General features: G+C 36.4%; 1 protein-coding gene across 7 annotated transcripts in view, besides 2 other annotated features; it reads right to left on the reverse strand.

The window, feature by feature from the left end:
• ACBD6 (acyl-CoA binding domain containing 6) overlaps positions 1 to 26,686 on the reverse strand; it is a 232,925-nt gene that overhangs the window by 117,245 nt on the left and 88,994 nt on the right. For all 7 annotated transcript variants that reach the window (XM_047432083.1, XM_047432080.1, XM_047432082.1 and 4 more), the window contains exons 5-6: positions 26,469 to 26,574; positions 10,619 to 10,708 (exon numbers count right to left, since the gene is read on the reverse strand). In XM_047432083.1, the coding sequence (XP_047288039.1) occupies positions 10,619 to 10,708; positions 26,469 to 26,574 (196 nt within the window). The remainder of the gene's footprint in view (positions 1 to 10,618; positions 10,709 to 26,468; positions 26,575 to 26,686) is intronic.
• Positions 302 to 381: an enhancer, noted in NCBI's record as "active region_2161". NCBI's record gives its function as "activates an Ori minimal core promoter by ATAC-STARR-seq in GM12878 lymphoblastoid cells {active_cell/tissue: GM12878}" and the evidence as "EXISTENCE:reporter gene assay evidence [ECO:0000049][PMID:35858748]".
• Positions 493 to 552: an enhancer, noted in NCBI's record as "active region_2162". NCBI's record gives its function as "activates an Ori minimal core promoter by ATAC-STARR-seq in GM12878 lymphoblastoid cells {active_cell/tissue: GM12878}" and the evidence as "EXISTENCE:reporter gene assay evidence [ECO:0000049][PMID:35858748]".

Consider the following 26,686-nt stretch of genomic DNA (forward strand, 5'->3'; position numbering starts at 1 on the left):
CTGTTTGGCGTATATTGACCTCCTTTTACCATTCGAGTTGTGATTTCCCAGGTTCTTGGTATGATGAGTAATTTTCAGTTTTGAGTATGCGTATCTGTATTCTATTTAAATCTTCTAGTTTAGCAGGCAGTTTCTCTATTTGGGTTTCTTGTGCAGCTCCTGATCTACTTTTAGGAGTTGTAGTTCCAATAATAATTTCATTTTCAGAGCCCTTACAGTACTATTTGGGTCTGCCTTGCTTGTGTGCTACTTAGAGGTCAATGTGAAAATGTAGGCACTATTCCACACTGTAGTTCAGTTCTCAACCCTTCTGTCATGTTAATTTTGGTCAGTATAATGTACGAGTCACTCTGGGTTCTTTCCAGGACTCTACATACAAGTTTAAAGCATTGCTTTCTCCAGCTCCCTCCTCTCTAAAATTCTCCCCCACACCATCACTCCCTATTTGGGAAGGGGAGAAGTACTACCTTATTATTGCTTTTAATTCCAGGGTGGGAGGTGATGGATATCCAAGCTTACCACTTGGTCTCCACTGACACCACACTTACGACAGAAGGGGAGTATCATCTGCTACCTCTGGGCAGGAGATGAAAGTCTAGGCTTCCCATTTGGCCTCTTCTGGCACCACCCTGGTGAGGAAAGGAAATCACTCCCTGCTACCACTGGGCAGGAACTGAAAGCTCAGGGTACTCATTCAGCATCTGTTGATAACACCTTGATGGGGAAGAGAAGCACTGCTTGCTACCACCAGCCAGAGGATGTGTAGGCTTCCCTTTCAGCCTCCAAGCAAGGGGGTGGCATATTCTTCCTCCATGTATTTGGCTGGGGTAGGGTGGTATTGTTGTTGAAAAGTTCTGTTCTTTTAGATTGCCCCTTTTCCTGTCCTTTGGCAAGAGATAACAGGCTTTTCTTATCTGCACCCATTGGTATTTCTGGGTTGTGGGCTTCTCCAGAGCCCACTTCAGCTTATAAAGAAACAAAAAGAAAACCCAGAGAAGCCGGGCACGGTGGCTCACACCTGTAATCCCACCACTTTGGGAGGCCGAGGCGGGCAGATCACAAGGTCAGGAGATTGAGACCATCCTGGTTAACATGATGAAACCCCGTCTCTACTAAAAATACAAAAAAATTAGCCGGGCGTGATGGTGGGCACCTGTAGTCCCAGCTACTCGGGAGGCTGAGGCAGGAGAATGGCGTGAACCCAGGAGGCGGAGCTTGCAGTGAGCCAAGATCGCGCCACGGCACTCCAGCCTGGGTGACAGAGCGAGACTCCGTCTCAAAAAAAAAAAAAAAAAGAAAAAGAAAACCCAGAGAAATCACCACAGGGTCATTTCTCAATTCTTGAGGTCCCTAGTCAGTCAGCTCTCTTCTTCTAACCCTTTAGTCTTCTTATGTTTATTTGCTGTGTATGTCCAGGGTTTTAAATCTGAACTGAATAGGAAGAACAGGCAGAAATAAGTCTTATCAGGAACTGAAGACCCCTCATCTAAGCATTAAAGAATAGTTAATACTAATCTTAAATGCACTCTTTCAGAGAATAAAGGAGTATTTCCCATCTGGTTTTATGCAGCTAATACAACTATCTCTATTTGCCAATGATATAATCTTGTATATAAAAATTATAAGGAATCCACTAACAAACTGTCAGAACTAATAGAAGCATTCAGAAAGAATGCAGGATACAGATCAATAAACACAGATCAATTTTTTTTTTTTTAATTTTTGTAGCAATACAGAGTCACTATGTTGCCCAGGCCAGTCTCAAACTCCTGGCCTCAAGTGATCCTCCTGCCTTGGCCTTCCAAAGTGCTGGGATTACAGGTGTGACCCATCATGCCTGGCCAAAAATTAATTGTATCTCTATACATTAAAAATGAACAATCAGAAAAGGAAATGAAGAAAACAATTTCATTTATAACATTAAAAACATAAAATACTTAGTAATAAATTTAACAAAAGAAGTGTAAGACTTGTACACTGAAAACTATAAAACATCAAATGAAAGAAATTAAATAAGACCTAAATAAATGGGAAGGCATCATGTATTCATGGACTTAATATTTTAAGATGGTACTATTCCCCAAGCTGATCTATAGATTCAATGCAATTTTTTTTTATTATTATACTTTAAGTTTTAGGGTACATGTGCACAACGTGCAGGTTAGTTTCATATGTATACATGTGCCATGTTGGTGTGCTGCACCCATTGACTCGTCATTTAGCATTAGGTATATCTCCTAATGTTATCCCTTCCCGCTCCCCCGCCCACAACAGGCCCCAGAGTGTGATGTCCCCTTCCTGTGTCCATGCGTTCTCATTGTTCAATTCCCACCTATGAGTGAGAACATGCGGAGTTTGGTTTTTAGTCCTTGTGATAGTTTACTGAGAATGATGATTTCCAATTTCATCCATGTCCCTACAAAGAACATGAATTCATCATTTTTTATGGCTGCATAGTATTCCAGGGTGTATATGTGCCACATTTTCTTAATCCAGTCTATCATTGTTGGACATTTGGGTTGGTTCCAAGTCTTTGCTATTGTGAATAGTGCTGCAATAAACATACGTGTGCATGTGTCTTTATAGCAGCATGATTTATACTCCTTTGGGTATATACCCAGTAATGGGATGGCTGGGTCAAATGGTATTTCTAGTTCTAGATCCCTGAGGAATTGCCACACTGACTTCCACAATGGTTGAACTAGTTTAAAGTCCCACCAACAGTGTAAAAGTGTTCCTATTTCTCCACATCCTCTCTAGCACCTGTTGTTTCCTGATTTTTTAATGATCGCCATTCTAACTGGTGTGAGATGGTATCTCATTGTGGTTTTGATTTGCATTTCTCTGATGGCCAGTGATGGTGAGCATTTTTTCATGTGTTTTTTGGCTGCATAAATGACTTCTTTTGAGAAGTGTCTGTTCATGTCCTTTGCCCACTTTTTGATGGGGTTGTTTGTTTTTTTCTTGTAAATTGGTTTGAGTTCATTGTAGATTCTGGATATTAGCCCTTTGTCAGATGAGTAGGTTGCGAAAATTTTCTCCCATTTTGTAGGTTGCCTGTTCACTCTGATAGTAGTTTCTTTTGCTGTGCAGAAGCTCTTTAGTTTAATTAGATCCTATTTGTCAATTCTGGCTTTTGTTGCCATTGCTTTTGGTGTTTTAGACATGAAGTTCTTGCCCATGCCTATGTCCTGAATGGTAATGCCTAGGTTTTCTTCTAGGGTTTTTATGGTTTTAGGTCTAACGTTTAAGTCTTTAATCCACCTTGAATTAATTTTTGTAGAAGGTGTAAGGAAGGGATCCAGTTTCAGCTTTCTACATATGGCTAGCCAGTTTTCCCAGCACCATTTATTAAATAGGGAATCCTTTCCCCATTGCTTGTTTTTCTCAGGTTTGTCAAAGATCAGATAGTTGTAGATACGCGGCATTATTTCTGAGGGCTCTGTTCTGTTCCATTGATCTATATCTCTGTTTTGGTACCAGTGCCATGCTGTTTTGGTTACTGTAGCCTTGTAGTATAGTTTGAAGTCAGGTAGTGTGATGCCTCCAGCTTTGTTCTTTTGGCTTAGGATTGACTTGGAGATGCAGGCTCTTTTTTGGTTCCATATGAACTTTAAAGTAGGTTTTCCCAATTCTGTGAAGAAAGTCATTGGTAGCTTGATGGGGATGGCATTGAATCTATAAATTACCTTGGGCAGTATGGCCATTTTCACAATATTGATTCTTCCTACCCATGAGCATGGAATGTTCTTCCATTTGTTTGTATCCTCTTTTATTTCATCGAGCAGTGGTTTGTAGTTCTACTTGAAGAGGTCCTTCACGTCCCTTGTAAGTTGTATTCCTAGGTATTTTATTCTCTTTGAAACAATTGTGAATGGGAGTTCACACAATTCTTATTAAAATCTTCACTGCCTTTTTAGCAAAAATGAACACACTGATCCTAAAATTCACATGGAAATTCACGGGGCCCAGAATAGCCAAAACAACTTTGAAAAAAGGCGGAAGAATAACACTTCTCAATTTCAAAACTTAACTACAAAGCCATAGTAATCAAGACTGTGTGGTATTAACATAAGGAAAGACATACTGATCAATGGAATAAAATTAAGAATCTAGAAATAAACCCTCATATTTATAAACAAATTTATTTTTGACAAGAGTGCTACAATGACTTAATGGGGGAAAGAACAGTCTTTTCAATAATGGTGGTGAAACAACTGGATATCCATATGTAAAAGAATGAAGTTAGACCCCTACTTCACACTCTACCCAATTAACTCAAAATAATCAAAGACTTCAATGTAAGAGATAACACTATAAAATTCTTAGAAGAAAAAGGCTTAATCATCATGATCTTTGATTAGACAATGATTTCTTAAAACCACAAACAACAACAACAAAAATAAATAAGATCATAAAAATTTAAAACTTTTATGTTTTAAAGGACACTATCAAGCAAGTAAAAACACAATTCAATGAACTGAAGAAAGTATCTGCAAATCACACATCTGAAACGAGACTTGTATCCAAAACATATAACTCTTATAACTCAATAATAAAGAGACAAATAACACAATTTTAAAAATAAGCACAAAATCTGAATAGAAATTTCCACAATGAACATATACAAATGACCAATGAGTACATGAAAAGATGCTCAATATCATTAACCATCAAGGAAATGAAAATCAAAACCACAGTGAGATGCTACTTCCCATACCTTAGGGTGGCTATAATCAACAAGACAGATGATAACAAGTATTGGCAAGGATGTGGAGAAACTAGAACTCTCATACATCACTGCTGAGAATATAAAATGGTGCAGCCTCTCTGAAAAACAACAAGCAGTTCCTCAAAAGGTTAAACATAGAGCTATGCTATGACCCAGCAATTCTACTCCTAGGTATACACCTAAGAGGAATGAAAATATATGTGTATATGTCTACATTCAAGAAAGCTCACAGCCCCTTTATTCATAATAGCCAGACACTGAAGGAAAAAAAAGACACCTAAATGTCCATCAACAGAACAGATAAAATCCTGGTATATACACGCAATGAAATGTTATACAGCAATAAGGGAACAATTGATACATGTAACATGAATGACTCTCACAAATGTTATGTTGAACATAATAAGCTTAATCCAAAAGTATATATACTTTATTATTCCAAATATTTGAATTTTAAGAAGAGTTAGAACTAATCAGGGGTCACAGAAGTTCAGAATAATAGTCACCTCAGGGTGGAAGTGAAGGATGCATATTGACAGGAAGTAACTTTAGGGAACAAACTTTCTAGAGGTTCCAGGAATGTTCTAATTTGAAATAGGTGGTAGTTACACAAGGGTATGTGTATGTGTATAGATGTGTGTGTGTGTGTGTGTGTATGTATGTAAAACACACTGTGCTGTATCCTTAAGATTTGTGTACATTACCTCACTGAATTTATTTTAGACTTAATAATTTTAAATAATGAAGAAAAAACTTTATGTACAATATTATACTAAATAGCTTTAAAATATATACATGTAAGTAGAAAAAAGATGAAAATGAAATATATACAAATTTTACAGTGAATAGGTTAAGAGCTTGGGCTTTGGAGTCAGAATATTCAAATCTAGGCTTTGGCCTTCACTAGCTCTATAACTTCTTTAGGCTCCTGCTTCTTCACCAGTAAAATGTAGAGCATAATATATGCACATTATGGCATTGATGCAATGACTAAAAGAGACAATGCACATAAAATTCTTGACACATAGTAAACACTAAATACTTGTTATATCCTACCCAACCCACCCCTCCCCACACAGATACATACTATGTAATGGGATTACAGATGGTTTTATTTATTGCTTTATACTTTTCTCATGTTTTTGAAATCTTTTATAAGACACAGACAGGCACAAGGTATTCACCGAGAGGGCGCAGGGCTAGTCTATAAACCGTAAGCTTATACAATTTATATGTCATAAAGCCTTTACACATTTCTGTACCACTTAAAACAAAATGTTTTTCTTTTAAACTGCATAACACCAGTACACAGTACTGACACATACACCACAGATGCTCCTACTCCTCCTACCAATAAATGTTCAGCATTCAAATACCTTTTAATGTGCTTTGGGGGGTAGTTTTAATCTTTCTTCAGGGCTTGAAAAATCAAAGTTACTCAAGAAGTCAGAGAAGGGTGTGTGTGTGTGCGTGCGCACGCCCGTAAGCCATATCCTAATCCCAAATGTGGCAAGAACCTAACTTCCAGAGTGGAATTAAAAATCAATACCAAGCAGTGGAAGAGACAAAACTGTATCCATAATACTGTCAGATAACAAATGAAATCTATACAGCATCTTTCTTAGAAATAAAATTTCAAGCTTCAATTCCATCACAGTCACACAACATAGAAGCCGCAGTATAAAAAAAAATGTATGAGATAGACTGAAGGGTAAAAAATGACAGGAAAACACAGAGTAGACTTTGACATATCTCTAATTACTGCTTCGTTTCAGACTAATGGTAAAAATTAGTCTTCAGATAGCTGATAACATCAGACTGTCTGTGCTGAGTTAGTACCAAGATCTGTGGCCAAGCAAATACTTCCAATAAAATTGATTTTCCTTTTTGGCAACCAATAGGCCAGTCAATAATAATGTTGTTTAAGAAATATAGAGTCATGAGGAGATGAACCTTTCCTTCCATTTATTATGTTTGTATTGTCTATATTTGAAAAGCGTTTTCAATAACAAAACCAAAGAAGATATTACAAGCAAAAGAGTTATTCTGAGCGCTAATCTCCAGAAGCCCTCTGACTTCGAAGCATGTTAGCAACTCAAACTGGAAAAGCCAAAAGCAACCCATTAACTAAAGTTAGATTGTATAGATTATGACTGTCAAAAGAGAATCAAAGCTGGTGGCTACACACAATGGTCATGTGAATACAAAGGAAAACATTGTGGCAGGCATATAATTCTAACAGATCCGTCCTAAAAACCTACACGGAACTTTTACTTTGCATTAAAGCTTAGTGTTTAGTAAAGAATGTTCTATAAAGCCACCTATAGTTTTTGGATTGTTTGTCTCACACTATCCAAACAAATAGAACGTAAGAAATCCGCAAGGCAAAAACCTCAGGCAATGCCTAACTTGGGGATATTTCCATATACAATACCTCCAAACAATGTGTTTGGTTCAAAAAACTGTTTTGTTGTTTTTTAGAGACAGGGTCTTATGCTCTGTCACCCAGGATGGAATGCAGTGGCACAATCATAGTTCACTGTAACCTCAAACTCCTGGGCTCAAGTGATCCTCCCACCACAGCCTCCAGAGTAGTTAGGACTACAGGCACCCACCACTACATCTAATTAAAAAAAAATGTGTGGAGATGGGGTCTCACTATGTTGCCCAGGCTGGTCTCAAACTCCTGGCCTCAAGTGATCCTCCTGACTCAGCCCCCTAAAGTGCTAGAATTACAGGCATGAGCCATCACATCTGGCCAGTTTTTTTTTTTTTCTTTGTTGTTTTAATTTAGTGGTAATAGTGGTTGGGGAAAGCTGGATGTTGAAAAAATGACTTTGAAATTTACACAGAAAAATAAATGAGCAAAAATAGTAGAAAGTATTTTGAATGAGTAGTGAAGGAATTTGCCCAACCGGATTTAAAAATATATTTTGAAGCTATAATACTTAAAACAGTGTAGCACAAATACATGAACAGAAAACCAGAGCAATGGAATGGAAGAACAAGCCCCCAAGATAGACTGAAATACATAAAAGAATTGAGACTATGGTAAGACAGTTCAAATTGCTATAGAAAAGATACCAATTATTCCATAAACATTACTGGAACTGGCTAGTCATCTGGACAAAAATAAAGTTGGCACCATCTGGACAAAAGTAAAATTCCTATTACATACATAGGATACATATATCAATTATAGATGAGTTGATAAAAACCACGAAATAATGAAAGTACTAGAAGAAAATGTGGGGGAAAATTTAAACAACTATATCACAAAGAAAGTGCAAATTTTCCTTACTATATAAAAAGTTCCTGTAAGGAGAAAAATACCATCAATACAATGGGAAACTGAGGAAAAGCTATATTAAAAATATAATATACCATTCATCATTCATCAAACAGGCAGAGAACAAAAAGTGTTATGATAAACTATTTGGCATGGCTAGAGAAACAGGAATTCTCTCACACACTGCTGGTGGAAGTATAAATTGTTACAGTCCATTTACATGGTACTAGTTAACTAAATTATGATACATTCTCCTGGGAACTGGTTGGATGATGGTGCCAATTATGGTGAGTAGTGGGCGGGGAAGGGTGGACTGTTGAAGGATGCTGGTGTTTAGTGTTAGATATTGTGCGTTTGAAGTGTCTGAGGGATATCAAAGAAGAGATATGTGTGTCTGGAGCTACTGGCTGAGATCTGGGTTGGTGATAAACATTTATTCTACTTTCTCTGTGAAATAGGAGGTATTCTGAAGATAAAGACCAGAAGATTTGGTAGTCAAATTTAATGATGATATTACCATGATTTATGGTAACACCAGTGTTGTGTGATTTTTTTTTATTTTTATTTTTAGCTTTTTCCAGAACCTAAGTGTAAAAAGACAAAGATGCCTATGTTACCACTTCTATTCAACCTAGTACTGAAAGGCCCAGCCGGAGCAATTAGGCAAGAAAATGAAATAAAAGGTACCCAAATCAGTCATTAGGATGTCTATTGTCAAAAGCACAGAAAACAACAAGTGTGGACAAGGATGCGGAGAAATTTGAATATCTGTGTATTACTGGTGGGAATGTAAAATGGTGCAGCTACTGTGGGAAACAATATGGCAATTCCTCAAAAAATTAAACGTAGAATTATCATATGATCAAGCTATTCTATTTCTAGGGTATATACTCAAAAGAAGTGAAAGCAGGGACTTGAACAGACATTTGTACACCCATGTTCACAGCATCCTTATTCATAATCGCCAAAAGGTAAAAGCAAACCAAGTGCCACAGATATTGGAATAAACAAAGTATGGTAAATACATACAAATAATATTCGGCTTTAAAAGGGAAGGAAATTTTGACACATGCAACCACATGGATGAACCTTGATGATGTTATGCTGAGTGAAATAAGCCAGTCAAAAAGGGACAAATATTGTATGATTCCACTTATATGAGGTACCTAGAGTAGTCAAATTCACAGAAATAGAAAGTAGAATGGTAGTTGCCAGGGGCTGAGGGAATGGAGGAATGGGAAATTAGTGTTTAATGGTTAGAGTTTCAGTTGGGGGAGATGAAAAAGTTCTGGAGATGGGTGCTGGTGATGGGCACACACAATACAAATGTATTTAATGCCACATAACTATACACTTAAAATTGTTAAAATGGTAAATTTTATGCTATGAGTATTTTACCACAATAAAAAAGAGGAAGAAAACCAAAACCTTAGGTTCTGGAAAGGGGTAAATTTTAATGACCTTGGATTTGGCAATGGTTTCTAAAGTATGACACCATAAACAAAAGGAAAAAAGAGAAAACAAATGATAGAGTTCATCAAAATTTACAACCTGTGCATCAAAAGACACCATCAAGAAAATAAAGAGAAAACCCACAAAAAGGGAGAAGACACTTGCAAATCATGTATCTGATAAGGGTCTAGTATCCAGAATATATAAAGCACTCCTACAACTCAACAACAAAAAGACAAATCACTTTAAAATGGGCAAAGACTTAAACAGACATTTCTCCAGAAAAGATATGCAAATAGTCAACAAGCGTATGAAAAGGTACTCCATATCATTAGTCATTAGGGAAATGTAAATCAAAATTATACCATGATGAGATATCACTTCATACCCACTAAAATAGTTATTTTTAAAAAAGCAAAAATAACAAGTATTGGTGAGGATGTGGTGAAACTGGAAGCATCATACACAGCTGCTGGGCATGAAAAATGGTGTAGCTCCTATGGAAAACAGTTTGTCAGTTGCTCAAAAAGTTAAACATCAAATTACCATATGACCCAGTAACTCCACTCCTATGTCTACAACCAAAAGAACTGACAACAGGTATTCAAATAAAAATACAAGGACACAAATGTTCACAGTGGCATTATTCACAACTGCCAAAAGACAGAAACAACTCAAGCTGCCCATCAATTGATTAATGGATAAACAACATTTGGGATATCCAAAAAATTCAGCCATAAAAAGGAATGAGGTATTGTTACATGTTACAATATAGATACACCTTCAAAACTTTATGCTAAGTAAAAGAAGTCAAACACAACCATAAATTTTAAGATTCCCATTTATATAAAATATCCAGAATAGGCAAATCTATAGAAACAGAAAGCAGATTAGTGGTTGCCAAGGTCTGGGGCAAGGGGAGAAATAAAAAAAATGTTAAAAAGTGACTGCTTAGTGGGAACAGGGTTTTCTTTTGCGGTGACAACAGTATTACGGAACTATATAGTAGCAATGATTACACAACATTGTGAAATGTACTAAACGCCACTGAATTGCACATTTCAAAAGAGTTAATCTGGTAAATTTTATGTTATGCGAATTATACTTCAATTTAAAAAATAAAAGCTCTTCTTTATCACTCTTACCTGACAGTTAATGTCAGCTCTATGTTGCAGCAACACTGTGACTAGTTCCTTATGTCCTCGATCACAGGCCCAGTGAAGTAGAGCCCTACCCTAAAAACACAGAAGATAAATGAATTTGTTATCTCAGTTGTGGAGCCATGTAAAAGATATAATGTTTTAAGAAAGACAAGGAAATATAAAAAATTATGGGTTAATTATTCTAAGAATGATTGATATAAAAAATGCACTATGGAAAAAGCAATAAACAATCAATGGGGCAGGGCATGGTGGCTCATGCCTGTAATCCCAGCACTTTGAAAGGCCGAGGTGGGTGGATCACTTGAGGTCAAGAGTTCGAGACCAGCCTGGCCAACATGGTGAAACCCTGTCTCTGCTAAAAATACAAAAATTAGCTGGGCATGGTGATGGGTGCTTGTAATCCCAGCTACTTGGGAGGATGAGGCAGGAGAATCGCTTGAACTCGGGAGGCGGAGGTTGCAGTGGGCCGAGATTGTACCACTGCACTCCAGCCTGGGTGACAGGGCAAAACTCCATCTCAAAAACTACAACAACAACAACAACAACAACAACAACAACAATGAAAACAATCAATAGGAAGCCCCAATATCTACTTCTGGGTCTGTACTAGCCCAATGCCTGCTTTCAGCTCAATCAGTTCACTTACAGAGTGGAGATAATGATAGTAATAACAACAATAATATAAATAATACCTGCTAAATGAACTGTAAGAAAATGCTTTGTAAACTGTACTTTAAATATAAAGTATAGTTTTCTTAAATATTATGTCCATTTCTTTTTTTCTGGAAAGAAATCATAAGAATAAAAAAGCAAGCACTTAAACCTAGGTAGAAATCATAATCTAAATGTATGATAACTAAATTTCCTCGAGTTCATTCCTTAAAAAGATTATTTAACCAGTTTGAAAATAAGCATTTCTCCTTACTATTGCAAGTTTACACTCTGAAATACCTCAAAAACACTAGTACAATCTATCAGTGTCTATCACCAAACAGTTGACTGTGAAAGCCACTTGTAAAAGAGAATGGATGACTAAATATTAGGAGATAAAGTACTAAATATGAAATATTAATTTTAACACTTGTCTACCAAAGACTCACAGTTACTATTACGTGTGTTATTTCTATTCTCTACTGCCAGAAAATCTTGTTTTAGTTAATGAAAAAAAGCCTACTTGGTTCAAAAGAATAAACAAAACCCCAAAAGCTAAGGGCTTTTCTGAATAAATGAGTGATGCATGGCTTACTACTTTCTGAGGATGGTGATGATGTTGTCATTTATAAAGAATGGAATGTTTTTCCACATTAAGTTGACATCCCTACTTTATGTGATTTTAGAAAAGATTTAAATAGATATAAGCTAGGGCAAGGATTGATTTAAAGTAAAAAGCACCTTTCAAGAAATAGCTTTTCTAAAACTGCCTACATTCTTTTTATCATTCAGACTTTCTTCACATACCTATTATTTCAAATAATTAAACTAGGATCTATTCTTTAAACAAAAAACAAAGTAGGAAAACTTCTTCCCTACAAATTGTCTTCTTCTTTTGCTTTCATTTGCTTGATTTACTTTTATTTACCTGTAAATATCTGTTTTCTAATAAGCTTACACAAAATCCTAAGAGGGGGGAAAGCAGAGAAAAAGTGTGGTCAAATCATTCACAATTTATTGTAGTATCAAAATAAAAAAAATTTATTTTGCCTTGTTCAGAGCCCACTAGGAGTTATTTTTTATTTATTTATTTATTTATTTTGAGACGGAGTTTTGCTCTTTTGCTGAGGCTGGAGTGCAGTGGCGGGATCTCCGCTTACTGCAACCTCTGCCTTCCGGTTTCAAGCAGTTCTGCCTCAGCCTCCCAAATAGCTGGGATTACAGGGACCCGCCACCATGCCCAGCTAATTTTTGTATTTCTTTTTAGTAGAGATGGGGTTTCACCATGTTGGCCAGGCTGGTCTCGAACTCCTGACCTTGTGATCCACCTGCCTTGGCCTCCCAAAGTGCTGGGATTACAGGCGTGAGCCACCACGCCCAGCCAGAAGTTATTTTTCAGTGGAGACAATTCTAAAAGTCCAGGTGAAAATGTATTGTTGAGTTCTAGAGCAGTTTCCTATGTTAAAATTTTTGTAGCTCTAATGTGACCTGCTGTTACTAGGGCTCTAATTCAGAAATCCTCCATATGAACAATTAGATATTTTAATGAGACTCTGAATAAATACTAATGAATAAAATATTCTACAGGTCCATGTTATTGTTTCACAGCATTTATTAATACATTAAAAGAATCAGACAAAATTTCAAAGTCTATCATTTTTAGTTCTAATTGTAAGTGTGCATTTTATGGCTATTAGGTTAAACTATTGACAAGAGTTATACATAGTTAAGACGATGTGTGATATATTTACATAGGGTACTTACAAAAACTATGTAATAGTTAAGTAGGACAACATAATATGTCTTGTACTTTTACCATAAGATGTATAGATAATTTCTATCTCTCAGCCACGTTCCTGAATTTTCCTTAGGTTTGACCCAATAGGGTTATATCAACTAAAGCTAAAATGTAAATCCTTAGCTGTTTCAATGGTAAAGCTGACAAGCAACACATTTTACTGTTAATGGGAGTTATATTTTAAATTTCCCATATTTTAAATTTTCCATGTGATGCCAAAAATTTACTTTAGGGGAAACACCTATGACTGGACCTCCATAGTGATTTTCACTTTGGATATATTTTCCAGAAGCGGGGCACATGTATAGCAATGTTTTAAGAAGGATGATGTGCTCTCAGACATTTACACCATACTTTTTAACACATTTTCTGACCTGCAATGCAATTAATTCTTGTAACACATTATTTTAATGGTACACTAATTAACCTTGAATTAGAATGAATTCTCTGACAATGACTTTCTGTAGAAGCACTGAAGATATCTACATTAAGACCACCTAATGATTAATATTCCATGCAGTATTAAAAAGCTCAAAAACAAGAGTAGGATTAAACATACTTGTAAATAAACACAGACAAAACAAATCAGGCTTTGGAATTTTAACCTTCAAGATGCTCTATATTTAAATGAACAAAAACCAGCAAAATGAGGTGTCTGTGATACCTTTTACTTCTTCAAATTATAAAATTCCTATAAACATGCTCTAATTTAAGATTATTATTCACTCACTAACATAACCAGTAATTTGCAGAGATGCTATCCTTATAATTAATCATGATAAAATCAGGAAATAAACACCTGTGGTTTCTTTCCTTTCTCTTTGTTAACCACAAACACACCTAGACCACTACAATTATTAAACTATTTTAGGTAAAGAATTCCAAAATCTCTCCTCCAGAAGGAAAACCATGACTTAGGTGTGCATTAAAGCTATATCTTCTAAGACTTTATCTAAATTTATGAACTATTTTACATATTTGTCTATATAATTGTTTTATCTTTTTCCATGAGTGATATAATCTCTTATAAATTTTCAAGTTAAATTTATTTTTATTGCTACCAAAATAAGTGACAATTCTTTGTTTCTAATTTTTAAAACTCTTCTGGAAAAATATCCCAGAAGTATTCAGGAGATTGGTGAGGGAGAGCCATTATTAAAAGGAACCTTTGTTAGGCCACCAGAAGACCACGAACACTGGAGAGCCCTGAATAAATTCTGAAACTCAAATACAGTAAGATGCAGGGAGAAAAAGAGTTCTCATCTATTAACCAAGGGTGCTAACACTGTCCTACCTCAGACAGATGAATGACTCTAAAGTGCTTTGAAAGTGCAGGGTAGCAGCTAACCTATTAAGTGGTATTACTTTCATACCTTCTGGAAAATACAGAGAGCACATCTTAATATATGAAATGCTTCTCTGATTTCCTTAGTAACTCGTCCATAAACCATGTAGAATTTTTTTTTAATTAGACTTTTCTCCTCAATATCACAAAATTAAAAAAAAGAGAAGAGATTCTGGCCAGGCGCGGTGGCTTACATCTGTAATCCCAGCACTTTGGGAGTCCGAGGAGGGAAGATCACCTGAGGTGAGGAGTTCGCAACAAGCCTGGCCAACATGGTGAAATGCTGTCTCTACTAGAAATACAAAAAATTAGTGGGGTGTGGTGGTGCGCGTGCCTGTAATCCCAGCTACTTGGGAGGGTGAAGGCAGGAGAATCGCCTGAACCTGGGAGGTGGAGGTTGCAGTGAGATGAGATCGTGCCACTGTACTCCAGCATGGGCAACAGAGCAAAATTCTGTCCAGAAAAAAAAAAAAAAAATGGTAAGGGGAGGGGAGAGGAGGGAAGGAAGGAGATTCTATTATAAAATGAGTCTTGATGTTCTTATGATATTTTGAGATCAAATACAAAGTACATATACCATACGTATAACAGATAAAAACATGGCAAATTTGGTATATTTAAATTTGTAAGAGTTGTCCTGTCATTCTATCAAACACATATAGTATATGGTATGGTACTGTCTAATTAGCAAATGAAATACTGCAAACAGGTAGATCTGAATTTCTCTCTGCAAAAAAATTGGGTATCAATTTATAATTGTAGTAGAGCTTGACTTCAACTACCAACAACCTGTAATGTCCCCATCTCCTCTGTACTATCTTCTACCTTTTGCTGCTACTACTGTAGCAGCTGGCCATAGTGAGAACTCCCCTACCTGCAATCACCAGAAATTACACAATGCCTCCTTCTTTCACTTCCCTGTCCATAGTGAAATGACAATGTTATTTCAAGCACTTAGGAATAAGATTGAAAGATAGTCTAACATCTCAAGATTATACCTAGCATGGAAGCCAATGACTGCTTGTGGGATAATTTACTTACGAGCATTATAAAGAAAATCACACACCAGTATGTGTGATACACACTTAAAATCAGCAACTACTGGATCTTGATCTCTTTCACTGGCAAAGATCTAGGGTAGGGGAAAATGGTGTTGCTTATTTGTCAGGAAATTGAGAAAGATTTTGAATACACTACTTTAAAAAATCTGGCTGGGTGCGGTGGCTCATGCCCATAGTCCCAGTATTTTGGAAGGCCAAAGCGGGCAAGTATGAGACCAGCCTGGGGAACATGGTGAAACCCCATCTCTACAAAAATTAGCTGGACATGGTGGCACACTTCTGTAGTCCCAGCTACTCAGGAGGCTCGGCTCAACAGGAGAATCACTTAAGCCCATGAAGTCATGGCTGCAGTGAGCCGTGATCGACGTCACTGTACTCCAGCCTACGCAACACAGTGACACTCTGTCTCAAAAGAAAAAAAAAAAAATCCCTTCACAAGAAATTACTAAGCTATAATGTCAGTGACTTAAGGGTGAAGGAATATGAAAGGGAGGTATTATTTCATCCTGTATAAAGGAGGTAATTAACAGCAATAATAATAGGAAGTTGCCATGAAAACAGCCCAGGTATCCATCATAAGACAATGGTATATTCACATGATGGAACATATTCAGCAGTATAAAAGAAGGAAGTACTGAACTATAGCAATATGGATGAGTCTCAAAAACATTATGCTGAATGAAAGATGCCCTACACAGAGGAGTACATATGTATAATCCCATATATATAAAGTTCGAGAACAAGCAGAACTTATCTATGGTAGAATAATATCAAAACGGTGGTTACCTTTTTGGGATTAAAAGAAAACAGTGGCTGGGAAGGGGCATGAGGAAACTTTCTGGGGCGACAGCAATGTTCTATATCTTGATAGGCACTTCAGTTACACAGGTATATGTATTTGTCAAAGTTCATCAAATGTGTACTTAAGACTTGTGCATTTCATTGTATATAAATATTATTTTAAAAGAAAAACCAAATACTGAATTCTAGTTAGTTATACGCATGTTAAAATATTTAGAAGAAAGTGTACTGTTGTCTGTGTACTCCAAAATGTATCAAAAAATAAAAAAGATTTGATGAATGTCTAGATATTGATAAAGCAAGCATAGTAAAATATTAATGGTAGAATCGAGATGGTAGAAATACGGATGTTCATTGTAAAATTCAACTTCTCTGTATGTTTAACATTTTTCATAATAGATTCTTGGGGAAAAAAAATCAAACAAAAATTTGTACACCTATGTTCAGAGCATAATTCACAACAGTCAAAAGGTAAGAGCAAACCAAGGTGTCCATCAATGGATATCTGAATAAACAAAATGTGGTATATGCATACAATGGAATATTATTCATCTTACAAAGCAAGGAAACTGACACATGCTACAACATGAACGAACCTTGAAGACGTTACACTGAGTGAAATAAGCCAGTCAAAAGGGACAAATATTGTTATGACTCCACTTAAATGAAGTACCTGGAGTAGTCAAATTCAGAGACAGAAAATAGAATGGTAGTTGCCAGGGGCCAGGGGAAGGGAGGAATGGGGGGTGTTTAATGGGTACAGAGTTTCTTTTTTTTTTGAGACAAAGTCTCACTCTGTCACCCAGGCTGGAGTGCAGTGGTGCGATCTCAGCTCACTGCAACCTCCACCTCCTGGGTTCAAGAGATTCTCCTGCCTCAGTCTCCCGAGTAGCTGGGATTACAGAAGTGCAGCACCACGCCTGACTAATTTTTGTATTTTCAGTAGAAACGGGGTTTCACCATGTTGGCCAAGCTGGTCTCAAACTCCTGACCTCAGGTGATCTGCCCACCTCAGCCTCCCAAAGTGCTGAGATTAAGGCATCAGCTACCACACCTGGCTTGGTACAGAGTTTCAATTGGGGAAGATAAAAAAGTTGTATGGTGGTGGTGGTTACACATGTGAATGTATTGTTTTATTTATTCATTTTTTATCACGAGACGGGATCTCACTATGTTGCTCAGCCTAGTCTTAAACTCCTGCGCTCAAGAATTCCTTGTGCCTGAAAGCATGAGCCACTACACTTGGCTCATGTGAAAAAAATATATATATACATATGTGTATTTTTGAGACAGAGTCTCACTTTGTCGCCCAGGCTGGAGTCCAGTGGCACGATCTCAGCTCATTGCAACCTCTGCCTCCTGGGTTCAAGTGATTCTCTTGCCTCAGCCTCCCAAGCAGCTGGGACTACAGGCATGTGCCACCATGCTCAGCTAATTTTTGTATTTTTAGTAGAGATGGGGTTTCACTATGTTGGCCAGGCTGGTTTTGAACTCCTGACCTCAGGTGATCCACCTGCCTTGGCCTCCCAAAGTGCTAGGATGACAAGCGTGAGCCACAGCACCTGGCCTCATGTGAGCATATTTAATGACAGAGAACTGTAGATTTAAAAATGATTAAAATGATACATTTTATGTATATTTTACCACAATTAAAAAATACCCAAAATAAGTTGCCAAAGCTCATAGGATTTAAGCTACTTTCACTATTTTCTGATTTTGTATTAAATCTAAGTTTCTGATGCAACACATGACCATAGACTTGATTTTTAAATGGCACTGCCTACATGAATGCAAATAAGCGTAATAGACAATTTGTAACGCATTTCTCAGTCATTAGTGTGAATAAAGTTCCTTCAAATTAACATCTTAATCAACTATATAACCAAAATAATATATACCCTGATATAGAAAGTGATTTAAGAGGATGCATTTTTTCTTCCTTCCTTTCTCAAATCTCATATAACTGCATAAATTTAGTCTCAGTATACCGACCCTGCCTCTTAAATCTTTTGCTTTTCTGTTACTTAGTACTGTCACAGTTTCACCAGAGTTTGCAGCAGTTTCTCAAGCCAAAAGCATGCAAATTGTATTGTTAGGAGCCACAGATTTAAAACAAAGTAGAAAAGGAAACGAATGGTAGTCAAGAGAAAGGTGACTTTCTTCAAAGTATCTGAAAGAATCAATAGACTACGGAAAATGGCTAATGACAACAATTATACTGTCAAAAGGACAGAAAAGGAAAGAATGTAACTAAAGAAGCAGCCCAGTGAAAGTGGAATTTGGGAGTGCATTAGATAAGAATCTATGGAAAACCAATGAACTATGTATGAATGCTTTTGGGGGGACTGATGATAAACAGGTGCACTGGATGGTCATCTATTTTGCTAAAATATTACACTGTTACATTTGATCTAAAACATTTAAATTACTTCAAAGATTTAAAATACTATTTAAATACTATCAATAAGCATGTATTTAGTGTTGATTGTATAGTACACTAATCTGAGAAATAACGTGTGACAAGAATTATGTAAACATAATTTGAGCCTGATGTTTGATAGCAAATACTCTCCCCATACTTTAAATACACTTCACAAATTATTGAAATCATCCCTGCCCCTTAAAAAATATTTTCTTGGAAGAATCATAAATATTTGGTATGTGTGAAGAGCTGTACTAATGTGGGTCAAGGATAAAAATTGAACCGCCATTTAAAAAAATAAGTAGGCTTTAAGATCTTCTCTTTAACTTTTCCCTTCATATTTTGAATTCAATTTTCAAGCATTTCTCAAATGACTGAAAACACAATAAAAGTTGTAATTTAATTTTTTAAAAAAGTACATATGACACCATGGTGTTACAAACTTGGACCCTAAAACATCTAAGCATAACTACGAAACTTTTTTCTATTATGCAAAATACAGACAATGTCCAATTACTATACCAGTAGGAAATACCAGGTAATTTTCTCAAATTAGAAATATATGCCTTACTATATTAGCATAGGTTGAGTATCCCTTATCCCAAATGCTGGGGACCAGAAGTGTTTAAAATTTTAGATTAAAAAAAATATTTACATTATATACTTATTGATGGCCCCTCCTTAATCCAAAAGTCTGAAATCCAAAGTGCTCCAAAGAACATTTCCTTGGAGTGTCACACTGTTGCTAAAAAGTTTCAGATTTTGGATCATTCCAGATTTTGGATTTTCAGATGAGGAATATCCAACCTGTAGTAATTACAACTTAAATGAATAAAAGATGTACACTAGGAATTATACTTATGTACAATAAAATAACTTCATTATGAAATACAAATACATTTTATTTAAAAGGCATTTCATATATATTTGTTCATATACAATACTTAGATCCAAATGTATGTATTTCAAATAATAATTTATAAATTATAGATTCATAGCTATCAGTGAATAATGTATTTATTTCAATGTGTGGGAATACAAATGTAGCTTACTTTATTATTATAATTAAATTTCTTTATGTGCTCACAGCAAATTTTAAGTGCAATAAACATGACTTTTAGTCATAAAATTAGGTTGAACCTGCTGAATTAAGATTTTAAGTAAAAACGTATATTATCCCAGAGAATCTTAGGGAATCAGTAGGGAAATATCTCAATTTCAAATATCAGATAAATACAAAAAAGAACTGAATGTCCTTTCAAAACTATAATTGTTACCCAACTCATAATAAGAAAACGTCAAAAGGACAGAAAGGGTTAAAAGTATTTAACTAGAAGTTTAATTTTGAGGCTACACACTTTTAGTCCATCATCAAAGCTTACCAAATTGTTTTATTTGCTAGAGCTTTAAATGTGATGAAGCAATACTATTTATTTTATTTTGGGATGTTAAGTTTGATTTTGATTTTAAGCTCCCACCTCCCTTATGTTCTTAAATTAATTCATACAAATCCCTGATTAATAATAAAAGGGTTTGCCATCAGTATTCAAAGCTCAGCCTGAATTGTCATGGCTGAGAGGGCAGAAATCTGCTTGGAGCAATGAGAGAACCCAACTGAATTCTTGGCGTCTCAGTCTATGAATGTGTAAGCACTTCATCTGTTCATGAAATACAACGTTCTGGCAGGCTGAGGGTAAAGGTAGCTGCATGGTTAACAAACTGGAAGATCTGGAAAGCAGCACTACATCAAAGTAACAAAATGGCAGAAACAATACATTTTGCCAAGTTTTCCTTGTCTTTACACACACAAAATATGTGTTATTTAGTGTAAGCTATCTGTGTTCTAGGCACTTATTCCACCCCTATCACTGTTGTCCATCCAGTGATCTTTGTGGAGGTCACATGTGGATTTGACTTCCAGTAATATTTTATAAAAGAAATTGCTGCAAACCAGAGCATAACACAGGGAAGGCCAAATGACAACTGCTTATCCTTCTTTTTCTTCTTTTTATTTATCCTTCTAAAATCTAGTGGTAGGAAGAATACTCTCCCAGACCTGGTTTCTACTTAGCAGTTATATGGATTTGAGCAAGTAAATGTAGGTCTCTGAACTTCAGTTCCTGTCTGTAAAACAAGGACAATATCTGCCTTAGAGAACTGTTGTAGAGATAATATAGTAATAAGTGAAAGTACTCTGTAAACTATCACATGCATTGTATAAAGTATTATGTGTTATTTGAAAGATAAATATTAACAGGCACCATATAGTACACACAAGATACTTCCAGTGAAAAAACTGTGACTTTGAAAAGTTAAGTGGCCTACTTATTGATTTGTTATATTATCATCATCCTTCACTCATACTATTAATAATAAAAGTAGATAAAATATACAGACTGTCTCAACTGATCCAAAACCCTTTTGAAATATCAGATAAACATAAAGAAATCAAGTAAGAGCATTATCAGAATATATAAATGAGATGGTGTCACTCATCTCATGAGACAGTGATATAAGCAAAAAAACAAATGTTTGTTGCTGTAAGCAACTGAAATTTGGGGGTTGTGCCACAGCAAAAGCTGACTGATACACACAAGTACAATCCACAGCTTAGCAATGAGTATTTACATAGTCATAATAATATTAATATTGATTCAACAGAGATTCAATCAGAAAGCTGAAATTAAAAGTTGTGATATCATATACACCATGGAATACTATGCAGCCATAAAAAATGATGAGTTCATGTCCTTTGTAGGGACATGGATGAAATTGGAAATCATCATTCTCAGTAAACTATCGCAAAGACAAAAAATCAAACACTGCATGTTCTCACTCATAGGTGGGAATTGAACAATGAGAACACATGGACATAGGAAGGGGAACATCACACTCTGGGGACTGTTGTGGGGTGAGGGGAGGGGGACAGATAGCATTAGGAGATATACCTAATGCTAAATGATGAGTTAATGGGAGCAGCACACCAGCATGGCACATGTATACATATGTAACTAACCTGCACATTGTGCACATGTACCCTAAAACTTAAAGTATAATAATAATAAAATAAAATAAAAAAGTTGTGATATAATTACGTTAGGAGGGTCAGAGAGAGAGAGGGAAGATGAGTAAAACAGTTAAATCTAAATATAACACAGAAACAAATCAATAATGTCTAAAGTTGAAAAATCAAGAAATAGAAGTATATTATTTAGAATTATGTAGGTAAGGTGCTAAAGACACATTAAAAGAACTGGAAGTCTGGCCGGGTGCAGTGGCTCACATCTGTAACCCTAACACTTTGGGAGGCTGAGGCAGGCTGATTACTAAAGCTCAGGAGTTCGAGACCAGCCTGGCCAACATGGTGAAACCCCATCTCTACTAAAAATACAAAAATTAGCCAGGCATGGTAGTGCACACCTGTGGTCCTAGCTACCTGGGGGCTGAGGTGGGAGGATCGCTTGAGCCCAGGAGGCAGAGGCTACAGTGAGCCCTGATCATGCCACTGCACTCCAGCCTGAGAATCTGTCTAAAAAAAAGAGAAAATTTTTGCCTTAAAGGAGCTAGAATAAAATGTAAGAAGGATGCAGGTAAGAGAGAATTTTTTTGTTTATAAGACTAATAGTAACATTTGATTTTTTAAAAAAACAAATGTATTAACTTTATAAAAATTTTAACTCACAAGCACAAAGATAAAAAACTACAATTTAAAAAATCAAGGGAAGCAATCATGCCAAATTTATTTAAAAAAGAAAGCTATACAGGCATACCTTGTTCTATTGCACTATGCTTCATTGCACTTTGCAAATACTGTGTTTTTTGTAAATTGAAGATTTGTAGCAACCCTGAGTTAAGCCAACTATTGGTGCCATTTTTCCAACAAGATGTGCTCACTTCATGTCTGTGTCACACTGAGGTAATTCTTGCAATACTTCAAAGTTTTTCATTATTATTATATCTGTTAGGGTAATGATCAGTGATCTCTGATGTTACTATTGTAATTGTTTTGGAGTGCTACAAACCACACTGAGAAAGATGGCAAATTTAACCAACAGATACTTTGTGTGTTCTGACTGCTCCACTGACTGGCTGTTCCTGGTCTCTCCCCCTCTCTTCAGGCTTCCCTATTCACTCAGACACAAAAATATTGAAATTATTAGCCAGTAATACAATAGTCTCTAAGTTTCAAGTAAAACCTAGTATCAAATGAAAGGAAAAGGGCTGCACCGTCTCTCACCTTCAATCAAATGCCAGAAATGATTAAGCTTAGTGAGGAAGGCATACTGAAAACCAACACAGGCCAAAAGCTAGGCCTCTTGTGCCAAACTGCCAATTTGTGAATGTCAGAGAAAAATTCTTGAGGAAATTAAAAGTGCTATTTCAGTGAGCATACAAATGATAGAAAAGTAAAAAAGCCTTATTGCTGATATGGAAAAAGTGAGTGGTCTGGATTCAACCAGCCACAACATTCCCTTATGCCAAAGCCTGATCCAGGGCAAAGCCCTAGTTCTCTTCAAGTCTATGAAGGTTGAGAAAGGTAAGGGGGCTGCAGAAGAAAAGTCTGAAGCTAGCAAAGGCTGGTTCATGTGGTTAAAGGAAAGAGGCCATCTCCATAACATAAAAGTACAAGGTGAAGCACCAAGTGCTGATGCAGAAGCTGCAGCAAGTCATCCAGAAGACCTAGTTAAAGTAACCGATAAAGGTGACTACACTCAACAACGATCCTCAATGTAGAGAAAATAGACTACTCCTACTATTGAAAGAAGATGCCGTCCAGGACTTTCATGGCTGGAGAGAAGTCAATACCTGGCCTCAAAGCTTCAAAAGATAGACTGACACTCTTGTTAGGGGCTAATGCAGCCATTGACTTTAAGCTGAAACCAATGCTCATTTACCATTCTGAAAATCCTAGGGCCCTTAAAAAGTATGCTTAATCTATTCTGCCTGTGCTTTTGAAATGGGAAAACAAAGCCTAGATGACAGTATATCTGTTTACTTTACAAAATGGTTTACTGAATATTTTAAGCCTACTGTTGATACCCACTGCTCAGGAAAAAAAAAAACATTCCTTTCAAAATATTACTGCTCATTGACAATGTGCTTGGTCATCCAAGAGTGCTCATGGAAATGTATAAGGAAATTAATGTTGTTTTCTTGTTTGCTAACACAACATTCATTTTGCAGTCCATGGATCAAGGAATAATTTTGACTTCCAACTTTTATTATTAAAGAAATACATTCTATAAGGCTATAGCTGCCATAGACAATGATTGCTCTGATAGATCTGGGCAAACTGAAAACCTTCTGGAAAGGATTCACCATTCCAGATGCCATTAAGAACATGTGTGATGGGAGGAGGTCAAAATATAAACATTAACAGGAGTCTGGAAGAAGTTGATTCCAACCTTCATGGATGACACAGATAAGGATTCAAGACTTCAGTGGAAAAGTTACTTGCAGATGTAACTGCAAGAGAACTAAAATTAGAAGTGGAACCTGAAGATGTGATGGAATTGCTACAATTTCATGATAAAACTTGAACAGATGAGGAGTAGCTTCTTATGGATAAGCAAACAAAGTGGTTTCTTAAGACAGAATCTACTCCGGCGAAGATGTTGTGAACATTGTTGAAATAACAACAAAAATTTTAAAGTACAACATAAACTCAGTTGATAAAGCAGTGGCAGGGTTTGAAAGGATTGACTACAATTTTGAAAGAAGTTCCACTGTGGGTATAATGCTATCAAACAGCATTGCATGTACAGAGTAATCTTTTACGAAGGAAGACTCAATCAATGTAGCTATCTTCACTGTTGACTTAAGACATTGCCACAGCCACCCCAACCTTCAGTGACTACCACTGTGATCGGTCAGCAGCCATCAACACTGAGGCAAGACCTTTTACCGCAAGAAGATTATGACTTGCTGAAGCCAAGTCTGATGATTGTCAGAATTTTTTAGTAATAAAGTATTTTAAATTAAGGTATGTACTTTGTTAAAGACATAATGCTACTCTACACTTAATAAACTACAGTACAGTGTAAACACAACTTTTTTGTTTGTTTGTTTTTTGAGATGGAGTCTCGCTCTGTTGCCCAGGCTGGAGTGCCATGGCGCGATCTAGGCTCACTGCAACCTCTGCCTCCCAGGTTCAAGCGTTTCTCCTACTGCAGCCTCCCCCGAGTAGCTGGGATTACAGGCACCCACCACCACGCCTGGCTAATTTTTTTTTGTATTTTTAGTAGAGATGGGATCTCACTATGTTGGCCAGGCTGGTCTCAAGCTCCTGGCCTCGTGATCTGCCCACCTCGGCCTCCCAAAGTGCTGGGATTACAGGCGTGAGCCACCGCGTCTGGCCAGTAAACACAACTTTTATGTGCACTGGGAAACCAAAAATTTCATGTGACTCGCTTTATTGCGATAGTCACTTTATTGCAGTGGTCTGGAACTGAATCTGCAATATTTCAGAGGTATGCCTGTATTTTGATTCTGAAAGGCAAAAAAAAAAAAAAACCCAAAATACAAAAAACCACAAACCTAATTAGAATCAGAAGACCTGGTATTATTTTGTTTCACTACTTAGTGAAAAACACATAGTATTACTAGTCCCTTTGTGCAGTATCATAGTCTTACATTTTCAATTCCAGACACCATTGACAATATTATCACAGGAAAGATGTTGCCTAAAGGTGAGATAATATTAAGGGCTAACCTTTTGTATAGGGAGCTCTGAATTACATATAAGTTGATTATTATCTATTCTACAGATTATCTATGATCATTTAATGCTTTCTTCCTAACAATTACTACCTTTGGCCATTTCAGTAATCTTTCACAGCATCACCAAAGAATGAGAAAATGATTAGAAGTGAGTTAGCAAATTTTGCTCTTTTAACAGCTATAATTCAGGGTCAGTTAAAACTCAGTATGTGAATGGTATTATTCACAACACAAATAAATTAAGAAGTAATACACAAGGCACAGTGGCTCATGCCTATAATCCCAAAACTTTGGGAAGCTGAGGGAGGAGGATCATTTGAGGCCAGGAGGACAAGACCAACCCGGGCGACATAGCAAGACCCCATCTCCCCAAAAAATAAAAAAATTAGCCAGGAGTGACAGCACATGCCTGTAGTCCTGGCTACTTGGGAGGCTGAGGCAAGAGGATTGCGTAAGCCCATGGGTTTGAGGATGCAGTGAGCTATGAGCGCACCCATGCACTCCAGCCTGGGCAACAGAGTGAGACCCTGTTTCTCCCTCCAAAAAAAGGAGTAATATATTTTATAAAATAATTTACTATAGGATTCCTTTAATTAGTAGGCCAGCATTTAAATTATTGATTTACCAAAATTCTGACAGTTTTCTAAAGATGTATTTATTGAGCAAAGAACAATATACCTAGCTGTTCAAGGTATAATAACGGAAGACACGAAAGCTATGTATAAATGAGATTTTGCTATTACCTGTAGATTTCACTTATTATGCGAATAATCTCTCCCTTTAGCATAAACATATGGAAGCTATCAGACTCCTACAAATTTCAGGTAGTAACTTCTAAAACACAGATAAAAATATGTTGGACATAATCACAGAACGTATCTTAACTAGGTAACACCATCTCATTTAGATATTCTGATATACTCTTAACCATACTGTACTTTGAGTTGTAGTTCATTGGCCTACCATTTAGGAAAAGGCACTGGGGCAGAACAACCATGCATAGGAAAATAATTAACAGGGCATGTTTTTCATACCTCTTCATCTTTCACATTCACATCCACATTTTTCGATTTGATGGCTTTGGTTATATGGTCAATGTTGTTTTCCCTGCAGTAATCAAATATATTTTTGTCTTCTTCCCTAGAATAAAAAAAAGAAAGGTCTTTTTTTACTGGGTAATACATTAAAGTTACATATTTTCAACACAATCTGTTTGCTGCTGACATAGATGTTAATGGACTCTGCTTACAAA

Source organism: Homo sapiens, chromosome 1 (genome assembly GCF_000001405.40).
Source record: "Homo sapiens chromosome 1, GRCh38.p14 Primary Assembly".
NCBI classification, from domain to species: Eukaryota; Metazoa; Chordata; class Mammalia; order Primates; family Hominidae; genus Homo; species Homo sapiens.